The sequence below is a fragment of the Homo sapiens genome, chromosome 17 (genome assembly GCF_000001405.40).
Source record: "Homo sapiens chromosome 17, GRCh38.p14 Primary Assembly".
NCBI classification, from domain to species: Eukaryota; Metazoa; Chordata; class Mammalia; order Primates; family Hominidae; genus Homo; species Homo sapiens.
Window position 1 is genome coordinate 64,608,556 of NC_000017.11, and position 25,903 is coordinate 64,634,458.

Below are 25,903 nucleotides of genomic sequence, written 5' to 3' on the forward strand. Positions count from 1 at the left end.
ACACACACAAAAATCTAAATTACAATCTTCAGTTTTAATGAGGTAATGATGATTTTTTTAAACAAACCACTATCCTATGATTCATGAAGTGAAATGATTTCACATCCGACTTCAGAGAAAGAGAAAACATGAGATCTCCTCCAACTCACTGCCACCAAACCTACATATTCATTCTTTTTCCCTTCCTTCCACTGACAATGTCTACTGTCCTCTCTAAGACTATCCTCTATCTCATATCTAAACCACCATGTTCTCGGGGATCTTCACAGCTGTTATACATATCCTCTATCTTGTCCCCTTTTCTAATCACCTTGTCAACATTTAAACATACTCAAGTCTTACCCAAGCCTCCCTTCAGCCAGCCATCATCTACCTCTTCCCTCTCATAATGAAACTTCTTCAAAGAAAATAAATGTGCAAAAATCACAAGCATTCCTATACACCAATAACAGACAAACAGAGCCAATTGCTATAAAGACAATAAAATACCTAGGAATACAACTTACAAGGGATGTGAAGGACCTCTTCAAAGAGAACTACAAACCACTGCTCAACGAAATAAGAGAGGACACAAATAAATGGAAAAACATTCCATGTTCATGGATAGGAAGAATCAATATTGTGAAAATGGCCATACTGCCCAAAGTAATTTATAGATTCAATGCTATCCCCATCAAGCTACCATTGACTCTCTTCACAGAATTGAAAAAAACTACTTTAAATTTCATATGGAACCAAAAAAGAGCCCACATAGCCAAGACAATCCTAAGCAAAAAGAACAAAGCTGGAGGCATCACACTACCTGACTTCAAACTATACTACAAGGTTACAGTAACAAAAACAGCACGGTACTGGTACCAAAACAAATATATAGACCAATGTAACAGAACAGAGGCCTCAGAAATAACACCACACATCTACAACCATCTGATCTTTGACAAACCTGACAAAAACAAGCAATGGGGGAAAGGATTCCCTATGTAATAAATGGTGTTGGGAAAACTGACTAGCCATATGCAGAAAACTGAAACTGGACTCCTTCCTTACACCTTATACAAAAATTAACTCGAGATACATTAAAGACTTAAACGTAAGACTTAAAACCATAAAAACCCTAGAAGAAAACCTAGGCAATACCATTCAGGACACAGGCACGCACAAAGACTTCATGACTAAAACACCAAACGCAATGGCAACAAAAGCCAAAATAGACAAATGGGATCTAACTAAAGAGCTTCTGCACACAAAAGAAACTCATCAGAGTGAACAGGCACCCTACAGAATGGGAGAAAAAATTTGCAATCTATCCATCTGACAAAGGGCTAATATTCCAAATCTACAAAGAATTTAAATTTACAAAAAAAAAAACCCCATCAAAAAGTGGGCAAAGGATTATGAACAGACACTTCTCAAAAGAAGACATTTATGCAGCCAACAAACATATGAAAAAAAGCTCATCATCACTGGTCATTAGAGAAATGCAAATCAAAACCACAATGAGATACCATCTCACACCAGTTAGAATGGCAATCATTAAAAAGTCAGAAAACAACAGATGCTGGAGAGGATGTGGAGAAATAGGAATGCTTTTACACTGTTGGTGGGCATGTAAATTAGTTCAACCATTGTGAAAGACAGTGTGGCAATTCCTCAAGGATCTAGAACCAGAAATACCATTTGACCCAGCAATTCCATTACTGGGTATATACCCAAAGGATTATAAATCATTCTACTATAAAGACATATGCACATGTATGTTTATTGTGGCACTATCCACAATAGCAAAGACTTGGAACCAACCCAAATGCCCATCAATGATAGACTGGATAAAGAAAATGTGGCACATATACACCATGGAATACTATGCAGCCATAAAAAAGGATGAGTTCATGTCCTTTGCAGGGACATGGATGAGGCCGGAAAGCATCATTCTCAGCAAACTAACACAAGAACAGAAAACCAAACACCACATGTTCTCACTTATAAGTGGGAGTTGAACAATGAGAACACATGGACACATGGAGGGGAACATCACACACTGGGGCCTGTTGGCGGGTTGGGGGTTAGGGAGGGATAGCATTAGGAGAAATACCTAATGTAGATGATGGGTTGATGGGTGCAACAAACCACCATGGTACATGTATACCTATGTAACAAAACTGCACGTTCTGCACATGTACCCCAGAACTTAAAGTATAATTTTAAAACATTTTTAAAAAGAACTGCCTACACTTTTTGACTCTACTTCTTTACCTCCCACTAATGCCCTGATCCACTGCAATCTGGCTTCCTCCCTCACCATTGCCTCTGAACTGCTGCTACAAAGCCCTGGAGACCTAATTACCAAGTCCATACAATGGACATTTTTCATTCTTTATGGCACTTGACCCCCTCATGGGCATTTGCCACTGCTGACTACTCCCTCTTCTAGAAACCCTCTCTTCCAGTTCTGTTTAACACCACATTCACCTGGTTCTACACGGCATAAAACTCATTCTAAGTTCTCTTTGCCAGATCTTGCTGTGCTATAAAACTTGAAGTTCTTCAGGGTTTTGCCCTAGGTTCTCTTATTTCACTCTGTAACCTGAGGATCACAGTGTCCATTTTTGTAAATCTTGCAATTATACGTAAACTGTTACATATATGTTTATTTTCTGGGGAGAGAATCCACATTTTTCCTGGGAGAGAGTTCATAGCTTAATAGATTGACAGAACTCTTCCTCTCTCTCAAAAAATAAAATCCGAAGAGCCACTTTTCCATATATTCTCTCTGGTCTTTACCATTTACTCTATGGTTATGATGATACCTAAATTCATAAAACCCGATCCTTAGTTTTCTCCTGAACTCCAGGTCCACAAACCAAATATGCGTTCCCCCCAAAAATCACGTCTTCCCCGCAAACCTGCTCCTCCCTCCAGTTGACTTTCTTTTCAATAAATAGCCTTCCTTTCCACTCCACTACCCAAGTCAGAAATCTCCATAGCAACCTTCACTGTATTCCCTCCTGACATCCTGACAATTACAATTCTCAGCAATTCTACCTCGGAAATATCCTTCATCTGTCTACTTCTCTCTATTACCGATGCCAACACCTTAGTCCACCATCTACTGTCTAGGTAATTACAACATTCCCCTGCCTCAAAGCCTCACTTCTTTCCAGTTCTCCACGCTGGACCTGAAGTGAGCTAAAAATCTAATTAAGTCTTTCCATCCATTTCCCCTTCTAAGATCCTTAAAACATTCCAAAGGTCTTCTGGCCCAAACTTATATTGGCTTCAATGCCCTTCAAGCCCTGGCTCCTGCTCACCTCTCTGACCTCATTTTTCATCACCACAGCTCCCTTCCAGGCCCTCAAGTCTAAGATCCAGCCACACTAACCTTCACTTTCTCAAATGTATCTCTCTCACCCACAGCCTTCACGTGCCATTCTCTCTGCCTGAAACATTCTTCCTAGGCTTCTTCACCTACTCATCTCCTGGTCTCAAAAGGGAAGGATGCCTTTTAGAACATGTTTCTCTCAAGCTTTCCCCGCTTGTATTTTCACAGAAGCTCATACTTTTATAAACACTTATCACATTTTACTGTTCTCGTTTAAGTTTGGAATGTTGCTTATAATTGCGGAGGTGGTAAACTCCATACAGCACGAATCATGCCTGCCTCATCTCTTCCTGCACCAAGCACACATTACGCCTGGCACTTGATAGGTACTCAATAAATATCTGTTGAATGAATGAAATAGACCCTAAAATAATCTAAATAACTTTTTATACTATATAACAATGGCCAATCCTCACATAATCATAATTTTGATTTAAGAAATCTTATTTTAGGCCAGGTACTGTGGCTCATGTCTGTAATTCCAGCACTTTGGGAGGCCAAGGCGGGCAGATCACTTGAGGCCAGGAGTTTGAGACCTGGGCAACATGGCAAAACCCCATCTCTACTAAAAATACAAAAAAAAAAAAAAATTAGCCAGGTGTGGTGGCACACACATGTAGTCTCAGCTACTCAGGAGGCTGAGGCATGAGAATCACTTGAGCCTGGAAGGCAGAGGTTGCAGTTAGCTGAGATCACACCACTGCACTCCAGCCTGAGCAACAGAGTGAGACACTGTCCCCCTCCCTCCACCCCTCAAAAAAATCTTATTTTTATCATTTCTCTTTACTTAAAACATACTTATCCGGTCGTGTTTAACCAATTCTTAAAAAAAAATCACAGAATGTTTAACATTCAGTTTCAAAGAACAATTGAAAAATCAAAAGAACAAAGAACTTTAAAATCAAGTTCAAAGCTTATGAGGAGAAATTACATTTTAGTAATCAAGAGATTAAGGAAAATAACATTAGTGTTCTAGAAGAAACAAGATTAACTTAAAACAAAGAAATAATATCAAGATTGGTCAGACCGCTATGCTTCATGCTGGATCTAAGCAGTTCCAGCCAGCTTTACTAAATTACTTTCTGCCCTGGAAGCAAAAACTCTGATTTGTAACTTTTAAAAGGAAGATTGTCAAAACATGACCTGAGAACTGGTAATGTTATTTATCTGTAAAAATAAATTGTTTTCACATCCTGGAGCCTTTACTGCACTGTTCTTTTTTCTTGGGAATGTACCTTGGGGACTAGAACCACAGCCCATTGCTCTTTTCATTCTCTGTTCTAATCACAGAAGATTGGTAAATGCTCAAAGAATCCATGAATTTCAATATGACAAACTCCTGATTATGTCACCACAGCAAATTCTCAACTAAGGAGGTATGTATCAGAATCCCCTGGAGAATGTATATACAATATTATAATTTTATATTAGGAGAAAATTAATCTATCATCTTTTGTAATAGAAACTATGGAAAGTAGAACTAAGATTAGGAATCATGGGACTAGGGAGGGGTGGCAGTGTGGGAGAAGTTTCATTTCTGCTTTCTAAATGTTTCTTAAAGAAAATAGGTAAAAATGTTGAGAAATGCTGGGCAGTAAGGGAGTAACAGGAGAGAAATCTTGTTAGGTGGGCGAGGCCAGAACAAAGGCTATGGGGTACAGACTTTTTCCTAGACCGCAGTCCCCAACCTTTTTGGCACCAGGGATTGGCTTCATGGAAGACAAGTTTTCCACGGACCAGTGTGTGTGTGTGTGTGTGTGTGTGTGTGTGTGTGTGTGTGTGTGTGTGTGTGTGTGTGTGTGTGTGTGTGGAGGGGGGGCAGAGGGGAGCAGGCAAGGGGGTTTTGGGAATGATTCAATCTCATTACATTTATTGTGCACTTATTTCTATTATTATTACATTGTAATATATAATAGAATAATTATACAACTCACCATAATGTAGAATCAGTGGGAGCCCTGAGCTTGTTTTCCTGCAACTAGACAGTCCCATCTGGGAGTGAAGAAAGACAGTGACAGATCATCAGGCATTAGATTCTTATAAGGAGGGGCAACCTAGATCCCTCGCATGCGCAGTTCACAGTAGGGTTAACACTCCTATGAGAATCTATTGCCGCTGCTGATCTGAGAGGAGGCTGAGCTCAGGTGGTAATACACGATGGGAAGTGGTTGTAAATACAGATGATGCTTCACTGGCTCATCTCCTGCTGTGCAGCCCATGGCCCAGGGTTGAGGACCCCTGGCCTAGACAGCAATCAGTATTTCAATATCTTTAATGTTTAGTAAGCTTATATATATGGAATTGAAATTATATATACAGAAAGGCACAAAAATCTGAAGTATCTGAATTAATTCAATTAATTTTCACCAATTTTTGTGTTAAAGCAAAACATTATACTGGACTACAGATATTTAGTAGGCACAAGTCAATTTTTATTAGTGCTAACTACAAATGTAGCATTACACCACCACAGTACCATGCTGCAGAATCCACCAGGGACAATGTCTCAAACAGCCCATATATTTGTACTAGATTAAGTCTGCTTATACTACTTCATCATGTTACTACCCTTCTCAAATTCCTTCAAAGCATTTCATTCTTAAGTCTACACTCCCAGAACCTAGCTTGTTCTAGCTATTGTACTCACTCCTTTTTCAGACAGATGGTTTGAAATGATTAGCAGAGATGATCAAAATGAACTGACATCAGCCATATTGGATAAAGCCTCTGCATTTCACACAGATGCAGGTGTGATCATCTTGAGATACTTAGGGAGAAAGGAATACTCCTACATCATTCACTCTCTCATTCAACATTTCCTGAACACTCACTTTGTGCCAAGTGCTATGACAGTTTCTGCAGATACAAAGAAAAATAAGACATAGTCCTTTGCTCTCAGAGCTCACAGGTCAGGTATAATTCAAATACCATGTCATAAATGCCTTTTATTGTTGTTTTCTCAAGATACGGTTTTAAACTTTATGGAAATCTTATACTTCATTTGAGGCAGCGATTAGAGAAAACCATTTGCAGAAGTACAGATGGCAGTAAATACTACCATTTTCATTTAGGTCAATAATTTATTTTTCTGGTAGGAAAGGAGTTATCTATATGCAACAAACCAGGTAATAGTATCAGAGTAAATCGCAGCTGTAGAAAGAGAATGCTATGCTTGTTCTTACTGAGTTGTTTTCATAATGAATGGCTATCTACGCTTAATGTGAATAAAGCTCCCAACTACTTAGTATATCCTTGCCAAAAATTCCCCTTCCTCCTCCAGATTGGAGTTGCATTCCAATTACACTGCTGATTGGAATGAGACTGCTTGAGAGAAAAAAAAAATACTCAGACATCCCATCTTCCTTCACCCCACAAAAAGATTTTATAATACTGTCCCTGCAACTCAAAAGTAGCATAAATGCTTTTGAACACAGATTTCTCTGCATGTGCTTTAAACTTATGTTATCATTGTAAAATAAAACCGAAATTCAGGATAACATTCCTATACAAATTCCAGCAGGTGGCCCAGTGCTTCAGAAGTATCAACTGATGTACACCATTCCTGACCAGTGGCACATGACAGCAATTTACATCTTTCTGCTCTGAGAAACAGCCTCTATCTCAACCCCTAAACATGAAATGAAAATGAAATTTAAATGCTACAGAAAACTTCTACACAATTTTTTATGTGTTTTAGTTATTGTTGCTTGAAACAAGAGTATTACACAGATTCACATTCAAGGTGTTATTACAAAATGTTAAAATAAGCAAATATATCACATATAATTCTATATGCATAAAAATGATCAGTTAAGTAAATGATAGCAAACAGCAAGTTGAAATATTACACAGCCATTAAAGATTATGTAAATGTATTTATTTATTGATGGATAAGAAAATAATTTCCTTTTTTTTTTGACAGTCTCGCTCTGTTGCCCAGGCTGGAGTGCAATGGCGCGATCTCAGCTCACTGCAATCTCTGCCTCCCAGGTTCAAGTGATTCTCATGCCTCAGCCTCTCGAGTAGCTGGGATTACAGGCATGCGCCACCACACTCGGCTAATTGCTGTATTTTTAGTAGAGACAGGGTTTCCCCATGTTGGCCAGGCTGGTCTCAAATTCCTGACCTCAAGTGATCCACCTGCCTCGACCTCCCAAAGTGCTGGGATTACAGGCGTCAGCCACCACACCCGGCTTAGAAAATATTTTCTTAATATGCTATTAAAAGTCCTTTTACATGTAGTACATTTAATAAAATATATTTTTAGTAAAGAATATAAACATATTGGATAACATTTATCAAATATTTACTATGTGCAAGTGTACACCAACCACCCTGTGAAATAAGTAGTAGTACTACCGTCATTTTAGAGATGAGGAAACTGAGATTCAGGCATAGAGACTTACCAGTGATTTTGCTTTTAAGAGCTAGAGTTGGCTGGGCACGGTGGCTCTGCCTGCAATCCCAGCACTTTGGGAGGCTGAGGTGGGCGGATCATGAGGTCAGGAGTTTGAGACCAGCCTGGCCAACATAGTGAAACCCTGTCTCTTCTAAAAATACAAAAAATCAGCCATGTGTGGTGGCAGGTGCCTGTATACAGTCTCTGCTACTCAGGAGGCTAAGGCAGAAAAATCCACTTGAACCCAGGAGGCGGAGGTTACAGTGAGCTGAGATCGCGCCACTGTACTCCAGCCCAGACGACAGTGCGAGACTCTGTCTCAAAAAAAAAAAAAAAAGAACTAGAGCTGAGATTCCAACTCAAGTAGATTAATTCTAGAACCCAAACTCAACTACCATATAGAGTGAAACATACTCTCTCAGGCTAGTACTTCCTTTTAAAGAATCTTACTCTAGGCTGGCACAGTGGCTCATGCCTGTAATCCCAACAGTTTGAGACGTCTAGGCGGGCTGATGGTTTGAGCCTAGGAGTTCGAGACCAGTCTGGGCAACAGGGCAAAACCCCATCTCTACAAAAATATACAAAAAAAGAAAAAAAAATAGCCCGGCATGGTGGTGTGTGCCTGTAGTCCCAGCTACTCAGGAGGCTAAGGTGGAAGAATCACCTGAGCCTGCAGTAAGCCATGTTCACACCACTGCACTCTAGCCTGGGCAACAGAATGAGACCTTGTCTAAAAAAAAAAAAAAAAAAAAAAAAAAAAAATCTTAGTCCAGTTAAAGCAATTATTGGTGACACAGGTTCACAAAACGGTTAATTGAAAACTAGGTTACAGAAGGGTGCTCTGCAAAAGATTCAGAATTCTCCTCTTTCAACAGATATAGTAATTTACCTCAACAATCATATTAGCCCTGCTTTTAAGTAAATATCTTGTCATTTAATGAAGGAATTTTAGGCAATTCATTTCATTCATGCTGCAAAACAAACTAGGCCCTTAAGTTTAACTTAATATATTCAGTACCTGGCAAGTAGTTAATCTAATTAGTATGTTTGATGATGTATTAAAAGATACAGGTTCTGAGGTAATTATCCTAAGAACAGTATCAGCATTTAAACATTTCAACAAGGCAAAATTGGTTCTCAGAAAATTTATTATATTTTTATTTTTTTGAGATGATCTCACTCTGTCACTTAGGCTGGAATGGAGTGGCGCAAACACGACTCACTGCAGACTCCAGTTAAATTTTCTGGGCTCAAGAGATCCTCCCATCTCAACCTCTGAGTACCTGGGACTACAGGCGCACACCACCATGCCTTGCTAATGTCTAAAATTTTTTTGCAGAGATGGGGTCTTGCCATGTTGCCCAGGCTCAAGCAATCCTCCTACCTCAGTCTCCCAGACTGTTAGAATTACAGGCATGAGCCACTGCGCCCAGCCTCAGTTAACAAATTTAAAATGACCTTTCTAGTCCACTCATATCAAACAACTTTTAAGTAACTACTTAAAAATTTTTTTTCAACAAAGATGAAGATTTTGGTAAAGTTCTCACAAACATGCGTACTTTTTACATTAATAAAACAAGATGAGACTATACAAATAAGCTTTCTAAACACTGAGTGCAAGTTTATCAATAATAGATCTACTTTGACATAATAAATGCAGATTTTAAAGAAATCTAGTCAGAATTATAGATTTTATTCTAGTCACAATTATAATTTTTTTTACTTATCGTGATCAGAGGTAATTTTAAAGTAAAGCTTATCTTAACAAGCATAATAATCAACTTCTGGTGTAAGTTCACATGTTAAAAATAAAAAAGGGCTGGGTGCGGTGGCTTACGCCTATAATCCTAGCACTTTGGAAGGCTGAGGTGAGAGAATCACTTGAGCCCAAGAGTTAGAGACCAGCCTGGGCAATATAGTGAGACTCCGCCTCTAAAATAAATAAATAAATAAAGTAAAAGCTCAGCTAAAGCCAAGCAGCACATTCAGTATGAGATAAATGTAAAACACTTGGTCTAGGTATCTGGTACATAGCAGGCACTCTACGAAAGCTATTATTTTGAGAAACCATCTGAAAGGATTTGTTATATATCTTAAACCAGTATTTCTGTGAATTCTTTATTCCTATATGAGGATGAAAATACACAAAAGTACCGTTCTCCATTCAAAAATTCACCATGACTTAAAGACCTATGCTGTGTGCAGACCAAACATTATCCTGTCTGCTGCTGCTGGAGACTCAACCACCACCTTCTCTACTGGACTCCTTCATTCAAACAGACCCACTCATAACTGATGGCTGTTCAAGAGATGAATATTGTATATTTAAATTAAACCACACAATTTACTTTCTTCATAAGGATGCCGAGAGAAGGAAACCTTATTGTAAAGTTCAAGTATATACTTGCAATGAAGCCTAAACATTATTTTATATGTAGAAAAAGACTTGCATCACTTTTTGGCCACTCCCAAGTTTCCTTCCTTTACCTTCTTTTTCTAGAGACACTTATAGAGGCAGTGTAATATAGTGTGTTAAGCTATAAGCACTATAAAAGAGTTAAATAATTAGGGTCAGAATGCATGGGTTTGAACCTGGTGCTATCCCTTATGAACTTGTGACCCTAAAAACTACTTAACTTCTCTTTGCTTCAGATAGCTCATCTGTAAACATGAGGACAGAAGGATACTAAGAGCCACCTCATGGTGTTGTTTTAAAGATTAAACAAATTGAAACACAGAGAACATGAGACCAGTACCTGGTACACAGCAAGTGCTCAATAAACACTGGCTATTATTATTACTCAACTCTAAAATTTCTCATAAAATTAACCTACGAGGTTGCAAACACATTAAAAAAGAACATGGCCGGGCACGGTGGCTCATGCCTGTAATACTAACACTTTGGGAGGCCGAGGCGGGCAGATCATGAGATCAGGAGATCGAGACCAGCCTGGCTAACATGGTGAAACCCCGTCTCTACTAAAAATACAAAAAATTTGCCAGGCATGGTGGCATGTGCCTGTAGTCCCAGCTACTCTGGAGGCTGAGGCAGGAGAATCGCCTGAACCCGGGAGGCAGAGCCTCCCGTGAGCCGAGATCATACCACTGCACTCCCGCCTGGGTGACACGGCGAGACTCTTGTCTCAAAAAAAAAAAAAAAAAAAAAAAAAGAAGAAGAATATAATTTGGCAAGACGTTTGCCTTAGCCAAAACAAATACCATAGATTAGGTGGCTTAAACAGCAAACATTTGTTTTTCACAAATCAATGGAGGCTGAGAAGTCCAAGATCAAGGTGCCAGCAGAGTCAATGTCTGGTGAGGGCCGTCTTCCTGGTTTGCATACTCCCACCTTCTCCCTGTATGCTTGCATGGCCCCCATAATCTCTCCCATGTCTCCTGTTATAGGGGCACTAATCCTATTCATGAAGGCTCCACCCTCATGACCTCATTACCTCCCAAATGCATCACCTTCAAATACCATCACATTGGGGATTAGGCTTCAACATAGGAATATTGGGGGACACATTCCATTCATAGCAAAGCTTATGTACCTAGCAAGCTTTCAGTAAATGCTGTTAATTGAGTCCCAATCTGTTTCTCTAGCCTCACTCTCTTCCCAAGCTCCGAACTCATACACCCATTTAGATTCCTCACCAGCACTTCAAATTATATTTTTTCAAAATGGAATTCATCAGCTTCCCTAGTGAACCTGCTCTTCTTTTTGACCTCCGTAGTGCTGTGAACTGCACCACGTTTCCAGTCATCCAGAAAGCAATGTCTTTATCTCTCTTCCTCTCCCTGACCACCTCACATACCTAAAGCAGTTGCCAGATTATAGCCGGTTATCACATACCTCTGCTTATCTCCATTTCCAGTGTTCACATTTAAATAATACATCTAGAGTATTTTACAATGTGCCAAAAAACTTCTACATAGATTGTTTTCTTTAACCCCTAAAGCTTGTGAGTTATCTAATATCCACAGAAAAACTGTAAGTGAATGTTTTGGCTCACCCCTAACTGCCACCTAGGAAAAGAGTTTAGGCATTGTGAATTCAGGCTCCATCCTATTTTTCTATAAATCCTTCACTCAAGCAGTGTCAATGATTCCTGTTTTCTCTCTCATTAACCCCTAGACTGACAAGCTCATCCTCTTCCCTCAAATAAGCCCAGGACTTTTCTGCCTTTGCCTTTATTCATAATGTTCTTCCCACCTTAAATGTTATTATCCCAACCACTGGCCCTCAAAATCTTATCCATTCATCAAACTTCTGTGAAGCCTTTTCTGACTCTCCTTTTTCAGTCTGATTTTGATCTCTTCCTTCCCGTGAACCTCCAACACTTGGATTCTACTTGTTTTATTATAGTGCTTTCTCATTTTGCTTGTTAAAGTTATTCATGTGATGTCTTACCTCTGTCTCATTAAGCTATAAACCTCTTCTACAGTTTATTATATAATATCTTAAACATAATATGCAAATACTTGTTGAATCAAATAAAATCCTCAGAAAACCACTGACGAGTTATAAGGATGTGCAAACTAAAAGGTAAAGGATACATGCAGCTCACTCCTTGTTTCCCCTAACCTAGTAACTCTTTATGTTCAAATCAGGATGGCTTCCTTAACTATTCATAAGTACTCTGCGTACCCATTCCTTAGGGCCCAACTACTTATCTAATAACAGATCTCACTGAGCCTTCTCTCTCATTCACAATAGAAAAGTATATTGTCCCATAATGTTCTAAAATTTTATTTGCCTTGTTTCTGTAACATTGTAAACAAAGGTAAACTTCCACATCTTCTGCATTCTTCCAGACTCTGAAAAACTGTAGTCACTCAAATACCTGATGATCTACTAAGAAAACAAAGTGCAAAGGTATTTAGCTTTCCAAATACGCTCCATTTGAAAACACAGGCCACAAGCACAAATAGGAAAGAAGACTGCAACTATAAAAAGCACTGTAGGCTGGGCGTGCTGGCTCACGCCTGTAATCCCAGCACTTTGGGAGGCTGAGGTGGGTGGATCACCTGAGGTCAGGAGTTTGAGACCAGCCTGGCCGACATGGCAAAATCCCGTCTCTACTAAAAATACAAAAATTAGCCAGGCGTCGTGGCGTGTGCCTGTAGTCCCAGCTACTCAGGAGGCTGAGGCAGGAGAATCGCTTGAATCCAGGGGGCAGAGGTTGCTGTGAGCCGAGATCATGCCACTGCACTCTAGCCTGGGTGACAGAGCGAGACTCTGTCTCAAAAAATAATAATAGGCCAGGCACGGTGGTTCATGCCTGTAATCCCAGCATTTTGGGAGGCCGAGGTGGGTGGATCACAATGTCAGGAGTTCAAGACCAGCCTGGCCAACATGGTGAAACCCCATCTCTACTAAAAATACAAAAATTAGCTGGGCATGGTGGCACGTGCCTGTAATTCCAGCTACTCAGGAGGCTGAGGCAGGAGAATTGCTTGAACCGGGACCCGGGAGGCGGAGGTAGCAGTGAGCAAGACCACGCCACTACACTCAGCCTGGGTTACAGAGTAAGACTCTCTCTCAAAATAAATAAATAAATAAATAAATAAATAATAATAATAATAATAATAAAAAGCACTGTAGTGAGCCATCATCGCAATAATAATAATAATAATAATAATAATAATAATAAAAAAAAGCACTGTAGTGAGCCATCATCGCACCACTGCACTCCAGCCTGGGTGGCAGAGTGAGACCTTGTCCCCAAAATAAGTGATAAATAAAATAAAAATAATAAATTTAAAAAAATAAAAATAAAAAGCAGTATAATTTATAAGAAAATACTTCTATACAACTATATATTTTTGAAATAATTCCTGGGTTAATAGGGAATTCATAAATGTAATAAACTTTTTATTTTAGAATAGTTTCAGATTTACAGAAAAGTTACAAAGTTAGTACAGTGTTCCCACATATCCACACTCACTTATCCTATCATGAACATCTAACATTAATATGGGACATTTGTCACAATTAATGAACCAATACATTATTATACATTAATATTATACATTAATTAAAATTGGTGTTTTATTCAGATTTCCTTACTTTTTACATACTGTAGAACACCGTAATACATTTAGTCATGTCTCCTAATGCTCCTTGTGGCTGTAATAGTTTCTCTGGCTTTCCTATTGTTTCTCAGACTTGTTATTTATGGCCTTGATGGTTTTGAGGAAAATATTGGTAAGGTATTTTGTGGAATGCTCCTCAACTGGGATTTGTCTAACTTCTCATGATTAGACGGGGTTTATGAGTTGTTGGGAGGAAGACCACAAAGGTAAAGGTACCATTCTCATAACATCATATCAAGGGTACATACTATCAACATGATTTATCACTGTTGATATTAACCTTGACCTAGCTAAAGTAGTGTTTGTCAAGTTTTTCCACTGTAAAGTTCCTCTTTTTCCCCCTTTCTATACTGTACTCTTTGGAAGGATGTCACTATACAAAACCCACACATAAGGACTAGAGAGTTATACTATACCTCCTTAAGAGTGGGATATCTACATAAATTGTTTGGAATTATTCTGCATGGGAGATTTGTCTATCCCCTATCTAATCATTTATATCAGTATGGACTCACAAACATTTGTTTTGTACTTTGGGTTATAATCCAATACTACTTTATTTTATTGCTCAAATTTTTCCAGCTTTGGCCATTGGGAGCTCTTTCCATTGGTTCGTGTGTTCCTTTGACATACTTCCATCATTGAGGGGAAAGGAAGAGCTCTTTCTTACTGATGGAAAATGCTCTAGGCTCATTTAAGTTCCCTACCCTGGCCTCAGAATTAGTCATTTCTCCAAGCAACCCTAGGAATTACCAAATTTAAACATCCATAAAGACCCAAAATTTTCAAATATAAACAGTTGAGCCAATGAACCCTTCAGCTCCTAAGGTCTACCTTCACTAGATCATTAAGTTCCATGATATCAAGAACTTAACTTTGATCTCCACTGTATACCCAGAGTCTAGAAAAAAGTGCACAGTAGGCATTCAATAACTACTATAAACACCGAACCTCTGAGACTCCAGAAGGTGGCTCCAGATTGAGTCATAACATAACTCATCATTCCAATGGAATCTGCCTAGATTTCTCATGTTTAGACTCCTGTTCTAACACCACTATGTCTAATTCACTGCATTGTTTTACAGTAAACAAAAAGCTTCCTTTTTCCACTGCTCCTCCCTTTTATTCCATCGCAAGCCAGAAGTTTTGTTAAGTATTCCCCAGTAAAATTTCCAGTGCAAAGGAATATACATCACATTTCCTAGATTCTTTCTATAATGGCGTATTGCCATTTACATCATCCTTTTCCGAGTTCCATTGAAATTACCATTTTTAACTTGCTATGTAGAGTTTAAATGAAAGGCATAATGCCAAATCCTTATCAACATTAGCAGCAGAAGAAAAATTACTGACAAAAATCTACTGATACCAAGTTGGACATAATGCCCTCAAAACACCTAGTTAGTATGTATGTAAAAGCATCTAAACCCTACCAATATTCCTTGACAAATCTATACGTAGACAGGAAAAAGCTTAAGTTAAACGTAAGTTGTCTTGTCTATACATATTTGATAATGTGAAGACATGGTTCCCTCCATAGCTTATCCATATATATGCAAAATAAGCTAAAATTATAATGGGGTGGTTCTACTAAACAACTTTATGATATAATTACAATATTCACTAATTTGTGATGGCTTGTTTTTCAGAGAAAGTTACCGCATGCAAAAATAAAGCTACAACAAATGACACACTACTGACTAAAAAGCAAGTCTGATAATCCTACAATAGAGTCCTCCTTCAACCTTAATACGATATCAAAATGCTATAAATTATACTGCCTTAGGTCAGGCACAGTGGCCAATGCCTGTAATCCCACCACTTTGGGAGGCTGAGGCGGGAGGACTGCTTGAGCCCAGGAGTTCAAGACCAGCCTGGGCAACATGGTGAAACCTCATCTCTATAAAAAAAAATTTTTTTTTGAGATGGAGTCTTGCTCTGTCATCCAAACTGGAGTGGACTGGTGTAATCTCGGCTCACTGCAGCCTCCGCCTCCCAGGTTCCAGCCATTCTCCTGCCTCAGCCTCCCAAGTAGCTGGGATTACAGGCGCACGCCACCATGCCAGGCCTCTACAAAAAAAAAAAAAAAAAATTAAAAAAATTAAAAACTAGCAAGGTTTGGTGGCAAATGCCTGTAGACCCAGCTACTCAAGAGGCTGAGGCTGGAGGACTGCTTGAGCCCAGGAGTTCAAGACCAGCCTGGGCAACATGGTGAGACCTCATCTCTACAAAAAACTTTTTAAAATTAGCAAGGTGTGGTGGCAAATGCCTGTAGTCCCAGCCACTCAGGAGGCTGAGGCAGGAGGATCGTTTGAACACAGGAGGTTGAGGCTGCATTGAGCTGTGTGTTCATGCCACTGCACTCCAGCCTGGGCAACAGAGCAAGACAGGGGAGGGGAGGGAAGGAGAGGGGAGGGGGAAAGAAAATAGTATTGCCTCAATAAAATATCATTTATAGAGAGTATGAGCCATAGAGGATAAGTGATCTGTGGCCACATTTGCAGTATGTGATCCTGACCCACTGGCCACTGCTAATTGGATAATAAGCAGCTACCACATCCAGTATGAGCCAGTCAGATCCTCTCTCTTGGGAAACTAGCATTCACAGCCAGTGCCTCTACAGAGAAGGAAGCATAAGCATTTAGAAAGATGGTTCTCCTGACTCTAGGGGGCCACTGGTAATAACAATCTCAGTTTCTGAGGCTTTCCAGTTTCTGGATCCTGTCTCTCCAAAGCCAGGCCACACACCTTCCCCTTTGGGTGCCAAAACTATATCCTCCCAATAATTTCTCTTTTTGCTTAAGTTAGTCTGAATGGGTCGCTTTCCTGTTACTTGCAACCAAAAATGTCTGAAGATAAAGGGAATCTGCAGTGCTTACCAAAGCACTGTCATATGCCAAAAAGCACACTTAAGCAAAAATGCAAATGTGTTAAATCCCCAAATCATTAACATTTTACAAGTTAAAATGTTTTCAAATGTTAGTCCTAATCTTAAATATTAACAAAAATGACATGTGTTCAAAAAATTGCTATGCAGATAAGAACACATGAACATGCTTCTAATATACAATTTTGTATTCAACACAGATCTCTGTTTTATGACACTAGCAAATTAACATAGTGTAGATTATGAGCCCACATATGTAGAACTGGTATTGGTTGGTGTATGTCTACTCTATCACCTTAAAGTCATGGTCCTCATGGTTCTCAAACTTTAGCACGTATCTTATCTCTTCCTAGAGGGCCTGTTAAAATACACCGCTGAGTCCTAACTCCAGAGTTCCTAATTCAGTAGGTCTATATGGGGCCCCATGACTCAATTCCCAGTGATGCCAATGTTGCTGGTCTCAGCACCAGACTTTGAAAACCACGGCCTTAAATAATGGCTCTCTACTTTTAGGGGAATGAGATGGTGATGGTAAAGCGCTCCTTTGAAAATTTAAGAAAAACTATGTACTTAGACAATACACACACTTTAAAGGGTTTACAGAAACTCAAAAGCTCATCCACATACTCTTCCAAATGATTCTACATTAAGAACCTCATTAAAGAACAACATAGGGGCTGGGCCTGGTGGCTTATGCCTATAATCCCAGCACCTTGGGAAGCCGAGGCAGGCGGATCACTTGAGGTCAGGAGTTCGAGACCGAAACCCCATCTCTACTAAAAATACAAAAAAATGAGCAAGACATGGTGGTGTGCACCTGTAATCCCAGCTACTCGGGTGGCTGAGGCATGAGGATCACTTGAACTTGGGAGGCGGAGGTTGTGGTGAGCCGAGATCATGCCACTACACTCCAGGCTGGGTGACAGAGTGAGACACGGTCTCAAAAAAAAAAAAAAAACAAAAAACATAGGATTATACATATTCATGAAGGGTCATACATGTCCATGCAGGGTCATATATAGCCATGTTTTCCAAATATACTTGGAACTTTTACTTGTAAGTTATTTTACACATTCATCTTGAATTTTTTAAGAAGCACAGGCTATTTCATTCAAGTTACTAATTAACATAGAGCAGGAAGATTCTGTTTTAAAAACTTACCTGGGCCAGGCGCAGTGCCTCACACTTGTAATCCCAGCACTTTGGGAGGCTGAGGCAGGCGGATCATTTGAGGTCAGGAGTTCAAGACCAGCTTGGCCAACATGGCAAAATCCCATCTCTACTAAAAATACAAAAATTAGCCAGGCGTGGTGGCAGGCACCTGTAGTCCCAGATACTCAGGAGGCTGAGGCAAGGGAATCGCTTGAACCTAAGAGGCAGAGGTTGCAGTGAGCCGAGATTGTGCCACTGTACTCCAGCCTGCTCGACAGAGCAAGATTCCATCAAAAAAACAAAACAAAACAAAACAAAACTTACCTGAACACAATCTCACTTTGTCATTAAAAAATTGATGAAATTATAACTATAAAATAGACAAAATCTATATCTAGATTTAACAGAAAAACACTTAGGAATAACATTAAACTATCACATGAAGGACATGCACGTATTCCCCTAAAAAAAAAAAACAAACAAAAACCTCTAGATTAAAGCTGATGTACAAATATGATAGGCTCCAGTCTTTAAGCCACCGCAACTGATACTGAGTGAGGACAAGCTGATCCTGCCAAGCCCTGTACAAATTACAGATTCACAAACAAAATAAATGTTGTTTTAAGCCACTAAGTTTTTTTCCTTTTTTTTTTTTTTTTTTTTGAGATGGAGTCTTGCTCCTGTTGCCCAGGCTGGAGTACAATGACACAATCTTGGCTCACTGCAACCTCCACCTCCCGGGTTCAAGTGATTCTCCTGCCTCAGCCTCCCGAGTAGCTGGGATTACAGGCATGTGCCACCACGCCCAGCTAATTTTTGTTATTTTTAGTAGAGATGGGGTTTCGTCTTATTGGCCAGGCTGGTCTCGAACTCCTGACCTCAAGTGATCCGCCCACCTCAGCCTCCCAAAGTGCTGGGATTACAGGCGTTAGCCACTGCATCTGGCCTTAAGCCATTAAGTTTTGAGACACTTTGCTAAACATTGTTAGATAATTAGAACACCTTTAGATGAGTTGAGAAACAGATTAAAACCCAGTCAAGCTGACAGTTTTCTCCATTAGACCACTTTTCAAAGTATATAGCTACTGAACTACACGCAGACCTCTCCCCTAATATCCACATCCTCATATCCAAATGACTACTAAACTCTGACAAACCCTAATCTGGACACCTAGTCTGCTGCGGCCAATGCAGATGTAAGCAGGTGACATAATCCTAACTCAGGTATATCACATACAAAACAGAGGCAGTTAGATGTTATAATTTCATACCACATGTATGCTATAGACCATCTCCAGCCAGTTCCCTGCTTACCATCCAACAAACCCAGATATCACCACCAACCAATCAAGAACACTCAAAAATTTGGCTTTTCTAATATGGAAAAGGACAGTTCATGATCTTTTGGCTTTAAAGGATCTCCATCCCTGACAGCGCGCTTAGACTTTGTGCTGGATTAGGCTTCCTGCTTGGCAATAAAGTTTTTTCACTCAGTACACAATCTTTGGTCTCCAACAGTCTTTGTACTTTAACAGTTTGGAAGTCCCACACAGATCATATGACTGAGCCATCCGATGAAGCCAACAAGCCACCAACACCTGAGAACATAGTAAGCCCTGGTTTCCATCACCTTCTGATGGTGATTCCGCTGACTTTATGAGTTTGTTCTGCTGTCTCGCAAGTTTGTTTGAAGCCTTCTGGTTTCTTGTGGGTAGACATGGAGAGGAAATTTGGTCTCTTCTTTGAGTGATACAAAAAGAGTGGGTCTATTCTGTGTATGTTCCATTGTTAGTCCACCTGTGTCCTAAGAGAATACTCAGAAAACTCAAACGTTTGGACCAGATTCAAAGGCTGGAGGTCCTAGACTACTGGGTCTGCCTCAACTGACTAAGTATTCTATGTATACATTTTCTATCAAATAGTGAAATAAATCTCCTTTTTGGTATTTGTTATGGGGGTCTGTTAAGTAAAAGAGTCAAATCCTGTCAGGACTCCTGAATCTTTTATGTTATTCATTATAGTCCAAATTCATATACATGTCTAATAAGTACTATGGCAAAATTATACCAAGAATAGTTTCTAAATTACCGCGGCCACTTTGGGGAACTTGCAATTTCAACGAGGGCTTACACTCCCACAATGCCTTAGAACCAAAGGAGGTAAAACCCCCAAAGCAATAGTCTACATTCTTAAACTCTAACACTAAGACAACCAATGGCTCAATAACTCAAAATTAACTTCCTTGAAGGATTCTCTAACAAGAGGTAAAGAAAGGGCAGCTCTTTCTCCGTGACTTCCTGCCTTGAAAGCTCAGCCTTTAACTCATCTGCTAGAATCCTAATGTTCTGACTCTTCAGATGAGGACCTCACACTACTCTCACAATTGATCATCACAGGGCTCCCTCACATCTTCCTGCCTTAGATATCACAGTTCTATCTCCTCCCCTGTTACTGAGCACCCATGTAGTATGGGACAGACAACCCCACAATTTCCATTAAGGACTTACCCCCACCCTTCAAAAGAAAGCCAGGCTGTTGTTTTTAAACTCCAGCCCCAGGCAAAATCCCTAAACCCACTAAAAAGACCAAAAGTTTTCTGAGTTTAGAAAACTTTTACATATCTAATACTCCCATGCCCACCAGAACCTCACAAACTTACAGACTACTAGTTTCCCTAAGAAGGTCGAAGATGGTTCCAAAAAACAGGTTGGAACCCTAATGCAGATCAGGTATCACTAATCAGAAGAAAGTTTAAGAAAAGTGTGTGTACACCTATAATCCCAGCACTTTGGTAGGTCAGGGCGGGAGGATCCCTTTAGCCCAGGAGTTTGAGACCAGCTTGAACAACATAGTGAGACCCTGTCTCTATAAAAAAAATTTTTTTAATTAGCCAGGCATGGTGGCGCTTGCCTGTAGTCCCAGCTACCTGGAAGGCTAAGGCAAAAGGATAGCCTGAGCCCAGAAGTTTGAGGCTGCAGTGAGCTGTGATCACACCACTGCACTCCACCCTGGACAACAGAGAGAGACCCTGTCTCTAAGATAAAACAAGTAGAAGGAAAAGTATCTGCTTCACACCATCCCCGAAGTCTTTCTTACCAAAGTAGATTACACCAAAATCCTAAATTGCAAGCAGTCATTTGTAATCAGAAGATTTTAGAAACTTTTAGGCAATATTTTTATAGACCTAGAGGCAGAGCTAAATGGCCTTTTCAGCCTCCTTTAATGGATTAAAACCAGAAATAGATTAGTGGGAAGAATGTCAGTGGATTGGCAAATAAATTATCTACATGAATTACAACAGAATATTGTCCAAGAACTCTAAACAAATTTTTTAAAAACCATATGTCTCTTCAAATTAAACAACTCATTCAAAGTCTAACAATACCTCCTATGACTGGTAGAGGAAAGAACTGTCCTGGGGGGATGTTGAATCCATAAATAATTCAGGTACTAGAAAAGTAATCATCCTTTAAGAACTGAGAAAGGAGGCCGGGCACAGTGGCTCACGCCTGTAATCCCAGGACTTTGGGAGGTCGAGGTGGGCAGATCACAAGGTCAGGAGTTCGAAACGAGCCTGGCCAACACAGTGAAACCCTGTCTCTACTAAAAATACAAAAATTAGCCAGGCATGGTGGTGCACGCCTGTAGTCCCAGCTACTCAGGAGGCTGAGGCAGGAGAATCGCTTGAACCTGGGAGGCGGAGGTTGTGGTGAGCTGAGATCGCACCACTGTACTCCAGCCTGGGCAACAGAGCAAGACTCCGTCTCAGAAAGAAAAAAAAAAAGTTAATACAAATTAAGTGGTTAGCAAAAATCCTAGAAGATATTTATTTATAAGAGGCTTCTGATTTTTAAAAGTCTTCATGCCCTCATCAAGTAAAAAACCACTTCATTTGAGAGATTACCAGCTAACTGGGAATTTCTAAAAATATAAGGTCTTACTCAAATTAAATGCCACAAAAGAAAAAGAACCTGTTACTCTGCAAGTGTGCAGAGAGCTAACTGGCCAAAACACAAGAAATTAGTTCCTGCCATCACACCCAAACTGGCGCAACAGGTTAGGGGTAAGCAGTAAGGCAGAACTATAATATTGTGAAACCTAAAACCTTATATTTAAAGGCTCTACTGGGGACAACTACTGGGGGCAAGGGGACAAATGACAGTCCACCCAGAGTTGAAACAATTTTAGCAGAAAAAGGTTTTATAACTATCCTTAGAAAATTATAAGAATTTTGCCTCTCAGAATTTGCCTCTCATTAGCTGAACTGATAAGGATAAGAACAAGTTCCTATACAAACTTCTTGAAGGCTCCAGCTAAGGGCTGTCCTTTATATCATTGCGGAGAACTTAAAACATATCCTTGAAGGCCCTACTTTTCAACCAGCACTCAATTATCTCTAGGGAGTCCTTGAAAAGCAACTATTAGTCAAATGCAGTGGTAAGGTCAAGTCAGAAAAGTCTGTTTCATCAGTTAGAGCACTAGTATCCTCCCTAAGAGCAGCTTCATAAGAGTAGTGGGCAAAGGCTGGGTTAGTGCATAAATGAAAGGTGAAGGTCATGTGTAGTGGCTCATGCTGTAATCCCAGCACTCTGGGAGGCCAACGCAGGAGGATCACTTGAGTCCAGGAGTGCAAGACCAGCCTGGGCAACATGGCAAGACCCCATCTCTACAAAAAATTTACAAATTAGCCGGGTGTGGTGGCGTGTGCCTGTAGTCCCAGCTACTCAGGTCAAAAAAAGGGAGAGAGGGACGGGGGTGAGGTGGGGTGGAGAGGGAGGGAGGAATGGAGGTGGGGGGGAGAGAGGGGGGGGGGGAGAGAGAGAGAGAGAGAGAGAGAGAGAGAGAGAGAGAGAGAGAGACAGAGAGAGAGAGACAGAGAGATGAAAACAAGGATACACATCACAAGAGCAGACTACTCTTTGTAAAGGTCAGACCTAAAATGAAGAAATGCAGGGGTTGAAGGAAATGGGCTAAGAAAGGACTTTAAAGATGAGAGACACATGTGGATATTTAAATTCTGAAAGAAGATAAAAAGAGTACTTAATAGGACAAAGTTCCAGAGTCCAGAGAGGAGAATTAACTAACCTTCACAGGTGAGGAACACACCTTGACTGGTCATCTTTGAAAACCAGCCCAGCTCCTAAAATCTCCTCTCTCAGAACATAAAATGCACTTAAACACCCCCTCCCAAAAAACAAAACACCATGAAACAAACAAAAAACAGAAATTTGACATGACCCTAATTCCACCTCTGCCCTCATTTTCACACTTTTTATTGGATGTAAGAAATATTTACACAATAATTAATATGCATTGAGCATTTACTACTTCTCAGACATGGTGCTTATGCACGTTATATGGATTAGCTCATTAAACACCAGACAGGATCAGCAACATGGGGTCAGCAAAACTGCACTTTGCTATCATATCTGCCTCTCAACATCTATTAACCACCCACCACCCTAGTATTATTCTAAGACTCTCTTTTTTTGCGGGGGGGGGGGGGGGGGGGTGGACAGAGGCACACTCGCCCACGCTGAGTACAATGTTGCGATCTCGGCTCACTGCCAACCTCTGCCTCCCGGGTTCAAGCAATTCTCCTGCCTCAGCCTCCCAAGTAGCTGGGATTACAATCGCTCACTACCACACCCAGCTAATTTTTGTATTTTTAGTAGAGACGGGGTTTCACTATGTTGACCAGGCTGGTCTCAAACTCCTGACCTCAAATGATCTGCCCACCTCGACCTCCCAAAGTGCTGGGATTACAGGCATAAGCCACCACCTCTTTTTAAAAAGGGGTGGGTGGGAGGAAGCAAAGCTAAATTTTAATCTCCAGAAATTTTGACTTGCCACATCAATCACAAATTTATACATTAGCTCAGATGTCCGGAGCTAGACTGGCCAAAGTGTCGTGCAATCCACACCACATGGTTAATAACTGACCATGCCCCTACACACTCCTAACATCAACCCTCCCAGGAAATGTGTGTCTATTAAACCAAATCCATTTCCAATTGACTTATACTCAGGGCAGCTGTGGGAAAGAGAGATGGGCAGGAAACAAACAAACAAAAACTTCTCTTAATTCAAAACACATAGTCAGCCTATTTGACCTAAAACCTGGTCTTAAGGAAGTTACAAATGCTTCCTATATTCTCTTTTCAGCTGAAGGGGAAAATGAGACAAGTCTTGGGGAAAAAAACTGTTCAAAGGCCTCCAGACTTCTGTCAAGAGACCTAAACAATTTAGGAAGACAGTGTAACACAGAGCTTAGAGACAGGAATAAAACACATCTGGTTTCAAATTCCAGCTTCCCACGCTTAAGAGAAGGGCTGTGAGCCCTTGGACAAATGACTTAACCTCTCTGAGATCAGTGTTTTCTGATGACAATATGATAGTATTTGTACTCGCCTACTTCAGAGTATTATTTTGAGGATTAAGTGAGATGACTTAGGTAAAGAGTTTCTTAAAACTTTGCAAATAGGGATACACAGTATTTATTGTTATAACAGAAGGTAGAGGCTGCATGTGGTGGCTCAAGTCTGTAATCTCAGCACTTTGGGAGGCCAAGGCAGGGAGATAGCTTGAGCCCAGAAGTTCGAGGCCAGCCTGGGCAACCTGAGGAGACCCTGTCTCTATAAAAACACAAAAATTAGCCAGGCGTGGTGGCACGCACCTATAGTCCCAGCTACTTGGGAGGCTGAAGTGGGAGGATGGCTTGAGCCCAGGAGGCCGAGGCTGCAGTGAGCCATGATCATATCACTGTACTCCATCCTGGGTGACAAAGCAAGACCCTGTTTCAAAAACAAAACAAAACAAAAAAACAGATCTCTACCTATAGATTCTTCTATATCCAGGTACTGGGAGTCAATCAGGGTCCCTCAAAATCAAATAGAGGAAAGAACAACTTCAAAGAGAAAGCAGAGTATAAAAACAGAGAAAGAACACTCCCTTTCCACTTAAACCCTCCATACCCACACCGGTATCATTCCATCCCAGGTGAAAATGTTTATTAGCTGGGTAAAAATAAATACATAAATCCCTTTACCATATATTTACAATACAATATAGTAAGAATAACCATTAAATATGTCATATTCACTTTGTTGCAAGTTTAAATTCCAGGATTCAACTAGCATCATTGGTTTGTTTTTCACATAACATGAATTATCTTACAACTTCAGTTGATTAGAGGCATTAGAGAATCAGTAATAATTCTGGTCCCTACAATTCTGAGCCTTCAATAATATGCTGAAAACACCAAACAACTTTCAATTCTAAACTTTAGAGGTAACTTATAAACACAGGCAACTACCAAGAGATTAGCCCCCCACCCCCCAAAAAAATGTTGTGAAGAGTTTTATACTCTCCATACAAAGTTACTGTAAAAACATAAAATTTATATAGGCTGAGTGTGGTGGCTCATGCCTGTCATCCCAACACTTTAGGAGGCCGAGGTGGGCAGATCACCTGAGGTCAGGAGCTTGAGACCAGCATGGCCAACATGGCGAAACTGTCTCTACTAAAATACAAAAATTAGCCAGGTGTGGTGGTGCGCGCCTGTAATCCCAGCTACTTGGGAGGCTGAGGCACAAAAATAGCTTGAACCCAGAAGCTGGAGGTTGCAGTGAGCCGAGATCCCACCACTGCACTCCAGCCTGGGCGACAGTGAGACTGTTTCAAAACAAAAAACAAAAACAAAAAGAGAATAACTGGCTGCTAGCATTCTTGGAGCTAAGTAATACAAGGGGGCTGGGAGTTTCACCATTTAAAGATGTGGCAAATCCCCTCATTTTCAGCTGGGCATTTCTTTACCACCTTCCACAGCACCAGGTATTCCTGGGTCTATAGGCAGTCTGGCTTTCTCCACAAGATAAATCTTTGACTTTTTTGTGAGGTTGGGTAAGAACACTCATCTGCTTGCCTAGGATGAGGCATGTATAGAACTTTCCACTGACTTTAAACCATTTCCTGCTTTCAGCTTCACATC

General features: G+C 40.3%; 1 protein-coding gene across 4 annotated transcripts in view; it reads right to left on the minus strand.

Moving 5' to 3' along the window:
- Positions 1–25,903, minus strand: part of SMURF2 (SMAD specific E3 ubiquitin protein ligase 2) — a 120,026-nt gene that overhangs the window by 66,274 nt on the left and 27,849 nt on the right. For 2 of the 4 annotated variants that reach the window (XR_007065425.1, XM_047436546.1), the window contains exon 1: positions 5,314–8,535. The exons of the other annotated variants lie outside the window; for them this stretch is intronic. Coding sequence is in view for 1 of the 2 variants with exons in the window: in XM_047436546.1 (XP_047292502.1) it covers positions 5,314–5,371 (58 nt within the window). In the remaining variant the exon portion in view is untranslated. Of the gene's footprint in view, positions 1–5,313; positions 8,536–25,903 lie in introns of those variants that run through there. 4 annotated transcript variants of the gene reach the window in all.